This window comes from Homo sapiens, chromosome 2, assembly GCF_000001405.40.
Source record: "Homo sapiens chromosome 2, GRCh38.p14 Primary Assembly".
NCBI classification, from domain to species: Eukaryota; Metazoa; Chordata; class Mammalia; order Primates; family Hominidae; genus Homo; species Homo sapiens.
Window position 1 is genome coordinate 78,025,560 of NC_000002.12, and position 12,340 is coordinate 78,037,899.

The window sequence follows — 12,340 nt, forward strand, 5'->3', positions numbered from 1 at the left end:
ATGAGAAATTTAACAAAGATATATAAAATGCATAAATACATACAATCAGAAGGTAAAATATTTTCTGAAATAAGTAAAAATGGCTTAAATAATTGGAGAGATATGTCATGTCCATGGTGTTGAAACCTCAGTAGTGTTAAGATTCAATTATCTTCATTATGTAGATACAACAAAATCCCAATCATAAGCCCCAGTTAGCATTTTTTATTAGAAATATAAATGTAGATGTACAAGACATAGAGTATCCAAAGCAATCCTAAAAAACAAAGTACAAATTTGAAGCACTTTCACTATCTGACTTCAAGTTGAACTATAAAAAGCTTCAGGATTCAAGACAGTGGGTTACTGCCATAAAGATCAATCAATTAGCAGAACAGAATATACATCCAAGAAATAAAATCAAAGCAAAAAGCACAAAACAATTCAATGGATGATGAAAGTCTTTTCGTAAAATATTTTATAACAACTGGATAGTTATATGGAGAAAACACAGAGCATATATAGTAACTGGACTGTGGGGCCATATGGATAGATAAAATATAGAAAAAACAAAAGTAACATTGAGCAAATGGAGAGCCACATGGCATATATATACACATATGTATATATGCACGTACATATATATGTATATATACACATACATATATGTATATACACACATACATATATGTATATATGCACACACATATATATGTATATATACACATACATATATGTATATATACATATATGTATATACGCACATACATATATGTATATATACACGTACATATATGTCTCTATATATACACATACACATATGTATATACATATATGTGTATATATACACAATCATATATGTATATACATATATACACATATACACAAACATATATGTATATACATATATGTATATACATATATACACATATACACAAACATATATGTATATACATATATGTATATACATACACAAACATATGTGTATATACATAAATACACAAATATATATATGTATGTGTATATATATATACATACACACACACACATATACCTTGACCCTCTATTGGAGATTGATCTTAGCTTAAAATCCAAACTAAAGAGCTTTCCAAAAGAAAATAAGGACTATATTTTTATGACCTGAGATTAGTTAAAGTTATTTAGGCAGTACACAGAAAGCAACAGCCATCAATAAATTTTACCTGATTAAAATTCTGCTTATATAAAACTTTGTCAAAAATAAATAGGCACGGAATAATGAGGGAGAAAATATTCACAAACATATCTGAAAAACACTAGTACATTGGTAATAAAGAAAAATTATACCTCAACATTAAAAAGACCAAAAAAACATATTTTGAGTGGGGTAATGATTTAAACAGGCACTTAACAGGAAAAAACATGAATGACCAATACACACATTAGAGAGTACTTAAAGACATTTGCCACTAGGTAATTGCAAATTAAATCTAGAGTGAAATATCACTCTATAGCCACCAGGAAACTTCACGTTGAGGAGTGGAGCAACCAGAACACTTTTGATGTGTGTAAAGTACCACAAGCACTAAGGAAAGACAGTCTTTCAGTTTCTTATAAAGCTAAACATGTACCTATTCTATAACATAGCAGTGTCACACCGAGATCAATAAAAACGCTGCCAATAAAATGGAAATAGTAGCTCAATTAGTGATATCTTAAACCTGGAAAAAGTGTCCATGACCCAAGGAATATATACAAACTGTAAGATAAATTCATGCTGTGGAATATTTCTTAGTAACATAATGGAGTGAATTTCTGATCTGCAATATGAAGTGGATTAATTTCAAGATGCTTATCCTGGGCAAAGTACAGTGGCTCATGCCTATAATCCCAGCATTTGGGTGGTCAAGGCGGGAGGCTTCCTTGAGCTCAGGAGTTTGAGACAAGCCTGGGCAACATAGCAAGACCTCATCTCTCCTAAAAATAATAATAATAATAAAAAAATTAGCTGGACTTTGTGGCACATGCCTGTAGTCCTATGTACTCAAGAGGCTGAGGTGGGAGGAGGGCTTGAGCCTAGGAGATTGAGGCTATAGTGAGCCATGATTGTGCTACTGCACTCCAGCCTGGGAGACAAAGTTGGGCCCTGACTCAAAAACAAAAACAAAACAAAAAAAGATGCTTATCCTGAGTAAAACAAATAAGATACAAAGAGTACATAATTATGATTCAATTAGTATGAATACTTAGGAGAAGTTACATTAATCTCTGGTGGGAAAATAATGAGGACATTGTTTATAGTATGAGAAAAAGTATTTGAATGAGAATAAGCATAAGGAAATGTTCTGGGATGATAATAAAGTTCTTTATTTGGATGAGTTTCCTTTACACAAGTGTACGTACTATCAAATTCATCAAGTGGTGCAATAAAGATTTATAAATTTTCCCATAAGCAAATTTTCCTACAAAAGAAATTTTGTAAGAAAACATTATATTAAAAAATGTGCATAGTAATATTTTAGGAAGAAATGTATGGTCAGAAAGTTACTCTGAAATGCATTTTTATTTAAAAAAAGAAACATGATTGATGGATATATAGAGGTATAGATAAATAGACAGATATGTGATAAAGTATATGTAGTAAAAATATAATTATAGAATAGAAATAATACAGTGTATGCTCTTACACACCAATGGAATTAAACTAGAAAAATTGCAAACTACATAGAGACTAAACAACATGCTTCTAAGTAATGCATGGACCAAAGATGAAATCTCAAGAGAATTTTTTTTTTTAGTTCTTTAGAGTAAGTTAAAACGGAAATATGACATTAAATTTGTGGAATGCAGTGAAAGCAGTGCTTACTGAAAAATATTTAGCATTGAAAGTAAAAAAGTCTAATTTCAATAATCTTATTGTCTCCCTTTAAAACCAGGAAAAGAAAAGCAAATTACATTCAAAATAAGCAGGATAAAATAATAATAATAATTAGAACATAAATCAATGACATCAAAAACAGAAAATTAGTAGGAAAAATCAAAAGAACCAAAAGCTGGTTTTTTGAAAAGACAAATAAAATAGATAAGCCTCTATCCAAGCTAACTCAGAGAGAAGAGACAATTACTAATAACAGAAATGAAAGAGGGAACATCATTACAGATCCCATGGATATCAAAAGGAAAATAGAGAAATAGTATGAACAACTTAATGCCTACACGTTCAATAACCTTGATGAAATTGACCCATTTCTTAAAAGACACAATCTGCTAATACAAAGTAAGAAATAGAGAATGTGAATAGGGCTTGATATGGTTTGGCTCTGTGTTCCCACCCAAATCTCATTTTGAATTGTAATCCCCACATGTTGAGGGAGAGACCTGGTGGGAGGTGAAGATTGAATCATAGGGGTAGTTTCTCTCATGCTATTCTCATTATAGTGAGCTCTCAAAAAATCTGATGGTTTTATAAGTGTTTGACTGTTTATCCTTCACAAGCACTCACTCTGCTGTCTCCTGGTAAAGAAGGTGAGTGCTTCTCCTTCTGCCATGATTGTAACTTTCCTGAGGCCTCCTTGGCCATGCAGAACAGTGAGTCAATTAAGCCTTTTTTGTTTATAAATTACCCAGTCTCGAGTAGTATCTTTATAGCGATGTGAAAACAGACTAACACAGGGCTATATCTATTAGAGTAATTAAATCAATATTTATTAACCTGCTAAACCAGAAAGCACCAGAACAGATGGGTCACTGGTGAATCCTACAAAACATTTAATGAAGAAATTATAAAAATCCTCTATAATCTCTTTTATAGTATAGAAGCAGAGGGATTATTTCTAACTGATTCTATGAGGCCAGCATTGCCCCAATAACAAAACTGGACAAAGACCTTAAAAGAAAAGAAAAACAAAAAAAAACTACATACCAGTGTCTTTCAGTATCTGTTAAGATGCAAAATTCGTAACAAGATATTAGCAAATTGAATTCGACAATTTAGAAAAAGAATTATACACTGTTGCAGGAATCAGGAGACCAGAGAGACCGATAGGTAGGACAGGAGGACTTCACTGAGTGCACTCAGATCCAGCAGATTAACATCCAAACACTGGGCCCAGAACAAAGACGGCACTTGACTTTTATACACACTTCTCAAGGGGGGAGGCTAGCTTGAAAGAAGCTTACAGTGGCACAAAGCATAGCAGCATGACAGTAAGGATACAGAGGCAGAGTCAAATTGTAAAAGGTGCATAACTCAGGATTACATGTGACTCTTGCTATGTGGCCCAGATGGCTGCTATCTAGGCTTGCTCTACTGCCTTGCAAGGGCTTATCTTATAACCTTTGCCATGGCACCTATATGGCTGCAATCCAGGCCTGCTTAGGCATGTCTTGTAACCTTCACTGTACTACTCAGATAAAAACAGAATACTTGGAGTTACTAATTACAGAAAACAGGAATCTATAACCTTATAAAACTTGCAAAGCAAGGGACAATCACACAGAGGGGGATGGGATTCGAATGGGAACTTACTAAAGGAGTGAGGAAGTTTTATTTTTTTTCTTATCCTTATGTTGTGGGAGTGCTGGGAGAGTCTCCAGAGCACATTCGTTTGAGCCTTAGCTTCTTAGATAATGTTATCAAGACGTCACCTGGGTCCAGGCTTTGCCTGTTACTGCCTTTGGTATGAGTCAGCCTAATATAGAAAACTTGTTTTCCTTTTTTAAAAAAAATGTATTTTTCTTTCTTTCTTTAATTTCCTGCCTCAACACCATTACCAAATGAGACTTATTCCAGGCATTTAAGGCTAGTTCAACATTGAAAATTTGATTAATGTAATCCGTCACATCAACAGAGTGAAAAAGAAATGTCACATGATCATATCAACAGAACCAGAAAAAGCACTTAACAAAATTCAAAACCAACTTCTGATAAAAACAATTAGCAAATTAGAAATAGAGGGTGAATTCCTCAAGTTGATAAGCACATCTACAAAAAAAACCCACAGTTAACATTATAATTAATGGTGAGAAACTAAAATATTTCTCCCTAAACTCAGAAACATGACAAGGATGTTCTCTCACCACTTATTCTCAACATATACTTAAAGTCTTAGCTAACAATTAGATAAGAAAGGAAATTAAATGAATACTGATTGAAAAAGAAGAAATAATGCTGTCTTTGTTTGCAGATGATATGATTATCTATGTAGAAAATCTAAAAGGATTGACAAAAAAATTGTGAAACTATGAAGCAATTATAGTAAGTTGCAGAATACAAGGTTAATGTATTAAAAAAAAGCCAATCTCTTTTCTCTATACCAGTAATAAACAAGTAGAATTTGAAATTAAAAACAAAATATCATTTACATTGGCACCCTAAGAAATAAAATAGTTATAAATCTAACAAAAGATGTACAAGATCTATATAAAGAACACTATGAAATTCTGATGAAAGAAATCAAAGAAGAAATGCATAGTGAGATATTTCAAGTTCAAGAATAAAGATTCAATATAACCAAGATGTTAGTTCATCCCATTTTAATCTATAAATTTAACTAAATTCCAACCAAAGTTTTAGCAAATTATTTTGTGGATATTGGCAAACTAATTGTGAGGTTTATATGGAAAGGGAAAAGACCCAAATTAGCCAATATAATATTGAACGAGAAGGAAAAGTTAAAGGACTGACATTACCTGTCTTCAAGACTTAATATAGGACTGTAGTAGTGAAGACAGTGTGGTACTGGTGAAATAATAGACATATATATTAATAGAATGTAATAGTGAGCCCAGAAATAGACTAACGTTAATTTAGTTAACCAATCTTTGACAAGGAACAAAGGCAATGCAATGGATAAAAGGTGTTCTTCTTTACAAATGATCCTGGGACAAATCAACAACCATATGCAAAAGAAAATAAAACAGAAGGGAAGAGAAGGGGAGAGGAGGGAAGGGGAGGGGAGGGGGAAGAGAAGAAAAGAAGGAAGGAAGGAGAGAGAAAGAAACGAGAGGAAGGAAGGAAGGAAAAAAAAAGAGGGAGAGAGAGGAAAAAAAAAACTGGACCTTACACACTTCTCAAAAATTAACGCAAAATTAATCATAGACCTAATTCTAAAACATAAAATTTTACAAACACTTGAAGGTAACATAGAAGAATGGGTATGCTGATGCCTTTTCAGATATAACTCCAAAACCAAAATCCATGGAATAAATTATCAATAAGCTGAAATTCATTAAAATTAAAATCTTCTGCTTTGTGAAAGATACTGCCAAGGAAATGAGAAGACAAGCCACAAACTCAAAGAAAATATTTGCAAAAGATATATGTGATAAAGGATTGTTATACCAAATACATACAGAAACTTTAAATAGCAACAATAAGAACACAAACAAATGAATAAAAAATGCACAAAATACCTGAACAGACACCTCATCAGAAAATATATACAGATGGAAAGTAAGCATATGAAAAGATGCTCCACATCCTATGTCATCATGGAAATGCAACTTAAGACAAGAATGAGATCCACTACACATATATTAGAACAGGCACAATCTAAAGCACTAACGACAACCAATGGTGGTAAGGATGTAGAGCAACATGAACTCTCATTCATTGCTGGTGGGAATATAGAATGGTTCTTGTTTTAAGAACCATTTGTTCTTAAATGGTGGACAGAAAGCAAGCAAGATTTTTTTGTGTCTCTTCTTATAAGGGCACTAATCCCATCATGAGGGTCCTACCCTTATGCCATCATCAAACATAATTATCTATCAAAGACCGCACCTCTAAATACCATCATATTGGGGTTTAGCCCTTCAGTATATGAATTTTGGGGGGACAAAGTTGAGTCCATAGCAACTACTTGAGAAGACAGTTGGCATTTACCTAAACATGCTGTTGTTACAATCCAACAATTGTGCTTTTTGGCATTTATCCAAATGAATTAAAAGCTTATTTCCACACGAAATTCTGCACAAAGATGTTTATAACAGTTTTGTACACAATTGCCAAAACTTTGCAGCAATCAAAATGTCCTTCAAGATGAATGAATAAATCAACTGTGGCTCATCCAGACAATGGAATATTCTTCAGTACTGAAAAGAAGTGAACTCTCAAGCCAATGAAAAGACATAAAGGAAACTTAAATGAATAACACTAAGTGAAAGAAGGCCATTTGAAAATGCTACATACTGCATTATTCCAACTATATGATATTCTGAAAACACCAGCATTTTTTTTGCCTACAGTTTATTGTCCTTTCTCTTCCTCCCTCCTTACCACTTCTCCATTCACATCTGGAGACAAAATACCATCTCTCGCATCAGGGGTTTCTCAGAATTCTGGTCTTAGGTTTTCAGATATTTCATTTTTGAACTCATTTTTGTGTTATCTTTAGGCATGACTTCCAGGAAGGAGAAAAATAGGGGCCTATTATTTTTTATGACATGTCTTCAGGAAATGAAAGTTTCTAAATTTGGTTTATTTTTAATGCTATTTAAATAAATTTTCTATTGTCAGTATAATACCATCTACTACCAGATTTCTCCTCCTCCTTTGAAAATTTTGCCCAGAACCAAATTTGTTACACTGTTCTTATTTTTTCAATTTCAAATATTTACCAACAGTGCTTCTCCAAGTATTGGACAAATAGAATTCATTTGAATTTACAGATTTTAACATGCTTGTTTACAACTATCTTTTCAATTTGAATGTCATTCTAGTTTATGGGGGAAGTATGAAATGAAAAGTATTCTTAAAAATGTTTTATTGGCTCATGCCTGTAATCCCAGTACTTTGAGAGGCCGAGGCAGGCAGATCATTTGAGGTCAGGAGTCCAAGACCGGCCTGGCCAAGAGGGTGAAACCCTGTCTCTACTAAAAATACAAAAAAAAAAAAAAAAAAAAAAAAAAAAAAGCCTGACGTGGTGGTGCATGCCTGTAGTCCCAGCTACTCAGGAGGTTGAGGCAGGAGAATGGCTTGAACCTGGGAGGCAGAGGTTCCAGTGAGCCGAGATGGCGCCACTGCACTCCAGCCTAGGTGACAGGGCGAGACTCCATCCCCCGCCTCCAAAAAAAAAAAAAAGTTTTATTAATACCACCTGCAAAATACACTTCTCATTCTTTTTTTTGTGATATGCATTTTTAGTTATCAAAATTTTATGACTTATATATGCAAAGATTGTGGTCTTCTTCTGTAGAAACCTAATGATCCTGTGACTTTGTTCAGAATTGTTGCAAACTGTTATGTATCATCATATATTTCTCTGATAACAAAACATTTCTAGATTTCCCAAGGACTTTATTCAATGTAAAGTCCCAAGGACTTTACACATATAAAGTGATAGTGACAGGAGCATCTACTTCATTGGCAATTGTGAAGATTAAAAGGGATATTAGATTTAAAGTATACAACACTGTGTACAAGAGCTTAAAAATTATTTTTATCAGCATTTAACATTGCATTTTAAATTTGTTTTTCTTTAAAGTTAATAGATATATTTTATCGATCATAGAAAAAAACACAGTTTTCATATATCTCCATATTAGGTTCAAATTATTGTGTATCTCTGCATTGTTTGCCTTTTCTATATTGAATACAAGATAAACTGTAAATAAGGATTTTGAAAGAACTCTTTTTGAATACTGCCCAACATTTTTAATATTCCTTGTAATTTTCTAGAATCTACTTTCAAAATCATATTTAAAATTACAGTTTCAGAATGAAAAATTCTACTGTCTTTCATGTTAAAAATAGTAGTATCAATTAAAGCTCTATGTGGATTAAAGACAAGTATGAAAAATATTAGGTGATGACAGGTATAGTTTAAGAACCTTTCTATAATGCAGTATTGTTATACATTTTATTTTTCACCATTAACAATTAAAGTTTACCCATTTTCTCAAGAATGGGTTAATCAAATACATCAAGTCATGCTGCTGATAGATTCAATCCCACTAAAATATTTCATTTTTTAAGGGTCAGAAAGAAATATGTTTGTTCTTATAAAGAAGAATAAAACAAATATCAGCAAAAGGTATCATAAACAAGGAAGATCAAATATGATCCCTGCCAACTCCACTAAAATCCCTCACACAAATGACACATTGATTTTACAGAGGAATGACTGTCAAGTGGATAAACATTATATTCACGTTTATTGTACTGATGTCAGAGTTGCCAGCCAAGATAAGATTGCAAAAACAATTTTTTAAAGTGGCATATTTTATTCCATCTAAATATTTATACACACACACACACACCACACACACACGTATGTATATATTTTTTCCCCCTCTGGTGATTTCTCATAGCCAAATACTCTTCAATCTGGTGCCCTTCCAGCATTCTTAGACCTCTATACTCTTAAAGTCCGTTGCATATGACTGGGAGCAAGGGACTAGATCACTGGCCAAACAGATGGTGAGGAATAGTTAATTGGCTCACTTGAGAAGACGATGAGTTACTCAGACTATGGTTTTGTCAAGGGAAATGAAAAATAGATTACATCTGTTTTAACAATTAAAAAATTCTCAATTGCTTATTTCAAATAATAAAGGTTTTTGAAGATACTAAGCAGCTTACATATATTAATCTCTTAATTCTGATGATGATTTTGGGGGGTACCAATACTAGTATTCTTACAGATGAGAAATCTGAGACACTGAATAATTAAGAAAGTCACCCAGGATCACTCAGAATATGAGGTAAGCCAAGAATCAAAACGAAGCAGATTTTCTCCAAAGTCATTAGATAACTACACTATGTCTCTGCTTTGAGTTCTAGAATGTTTCCAAATATATTTGTAATTATAAAAGTAAAATATGGTCACTGAACACAATTTAGAAAATACAGAATGGTAAAAAGCAGACAACCAACTGTAACCCACCCACTGAAAGAAAAGCATTTTAAACTGTTAATAGATTTAACAGGGTTGAGATAATTTCTGTACATTCTGCATTTTGATCTGTTTTCTTTCTTTAAAAATAAAACATGGTTTTCTTCAAACATTATATTGTAAGCATTTGACTTGAGCTATAGCTCTAATAGGTAAAGGGCATAGTGGTCATTAACTATTTTTTTTTTAATGAGAAAACCAGAACACCCTAAATATCAATGGATTTTCTAGGACCAATCAAAGAATTGAGATAGTGGAGTAAACTGGTACCCTGAAATGTGGAGACACTGCCCTAAACAGAATCACTGATCTCACAAAAAACTGAGATCAGCTAACCTGGAACAGAAGCTGCTGAAGCCATGAACTGGTAGAAGCACCTAAAGAGTAATTTTGACAAATGGCTGGAAGTCCAGTGTGAAATAGCATGAGGAATAAACTCCTGAGGTTTGCAGTCTTCGAAGTCCCTAGCGTGTTTATGGGTTTCACCTCCAGTAAGCTCTCATGATAAAGAGCCAGGAAATTCCCTGGTGCTTCTGGCCTGGGGAGCAGTAAAGAAACCAACTTGAAATATACCCAGAGCATTCTCCATAACAAAAACCTGGCTGGCAGGTAGGAGAAAAGACCTTATCAGATCATTATCACATCCAGGAATAGGGCAATTATCTAACAATAGCATCCTCTGGCCTTTCTGTCTCACCAACTGGAGAAAGAAACACTTGTGAAGGTCACAGCCAAGAGATGCAAGGCCACTAAAAGATTGATTCAATTATAATATTATAGAAAGCTTCCCTTCCCCCACAAAACCACCAAATCAACAAGGTTTCAGCCTAATAACCGTGGATTACAGTTGAAAGAGCTGCAAGTCTCAGACTTTAAGAAGTTCATAGGAGAACACAAAAGCAAAAGAGGAAAGAAAGTAGATGCTAGCAGAATTTGAAACTACTGACACCTACAGCTGTGACAAAGATGAAACACAATACAACTCACAGTCAGATTAACATAAAGCCTCACAGTAAAAGTGTGTTTGCATCAGTTCCTATTATCTGATAACAATATGCTCACCTTTCAACAAAAAAATTGTAAGACATTGAACAACTCAGGAAATAACAGTCTGAAGAGACAAAGCAAGCATCTGAATATGACTCAGAAGTAACACATAAATTGAAATTATCACACACACATATGTATATTTATAATAGTCAGTATTCTACAGGTAGAATTAGACAACATTCAAGGATAGGTGGGTAATGTAAGCAGAGAGATGGAAACTAAAAAAGGATTCGAAGAAAATGCTGGAAATAAAAAGCTAATAACAATTAAAAAATCTTTAATGGACTCATCAGTTGACTGGATATGGCTCAGGAAATAATTAGTGATCTTGAGGATGCATGAGTATAAATTCAAACTAAAATGCAAAGAGAAAATAAGATGAAGAAGTTGATTTTGAGCTGCTGAACTCAAATGATCCTCCTTCTTCAGCCTCCCAAGGTGCTGAGATTACAGGTGTGAGCAACCATGTTTGGCCTTTTTTTTTTTTTAATCTTTGTAAATCTAAATGGTGTAACAAGATGATATACTCACCATTGTTTTAGATTTTATTTTACGGATTGGTAACACCATTACTGAAATACAGTGATAATGAATATGTGCGATTTTTTTGTTCTAAGCCTTTACCTATATTAAATTCATTTAATTTCCTTATCTGTATTAACACATTTATTTCTTATATAGCTCTGAAGTAGGTACTATTAATATGTTCATTTGTGGATAAGGTAATAGTCACAAAGAGTGATTAAATAACTTTGTCCTCACAACAGGGACCCTTAGAGTTGATGTTTATTTGAACATGATCATTATTGTTAGAGTTCATACTATTAACCTCAATGTTTGAGCACTTCTCTGCTTGAGATGAAACATATTGTATTGTGTAGTCATTCCTGATTGAAATGTATTTTCAAGCTTTAGTTCTTTATTGCATCTTAATAGAAAAAAGCCTAAATCTTGAAAATACTTGAATATGACATGAATGAATAAATTTGTCATGAATGATTGAATGTGGCAGTCATTATTTATAATGTCTTTTTATCCAAAGGTATTTATGGCATTTTATGATAAATAACATTTTGATTTTTATAGATAAACCTGCCTTTCATTTAGTTGATTTTCTGACTTTGATATTCAGCTTTGAAAAGGTGATCTCCTGTAGTCCCAGCCACTCAGGAGGCCAAGGTGGAAGATCTCTTGACCTAGGAATTTGAGTCCAACCTGGGCAACATAGTGAGACTCATCTCAAAACAAAACAAGAAGGTGATCCCCATCTCCATTACTACATAATTAAAATGAGATGTTTCTTAACAGGCAAGTACTCTTTAGGGACAAGTTTCTTCACTTCATTTTAATTGTGTATTCTGAATGTCATGAATTATTTTGTTGGTATTGTATTAGTTTTCTCCAAAGAAACAGAGCTATTAGTATATAGATATAGA

The 12,340-nt window shown here is 33.2% G+C and overlaps 1 long non-coding RNA gene across 1 annotated transcript in view, besides 1 other annotated feature; it reads right to left on the minus strand.

The window, feature by feature from the left end:
• The window catches only part of LOC101927967 (uncharacterized), a 547,036-nt gene that overhangs the window by 281,864 nt on the left and 252,832 nt on the right, over window positions 1-12,340 (minus strand). The gene's annotated exons all lie outside the window — the stretch shown is intronic.
• Window positions 9,958-10,897: an enhancer, noted in NCBI's record as "OCT4-NANOG hESC enhancer chr2:78262643-78263582 (GRCh37/hg19 assembly coordinates)". NCBI's record gives its function as "activates a minimal SCP1, AML or CMV promoter by ChIP-STARR-seq in primed H9 embryonic stem cells {active_cell/tissue: H9 hESC(primed)}" and the evidence as "EXISTENCE:reporter gene assay evidence [ECO:0000049][PMID:30033119]".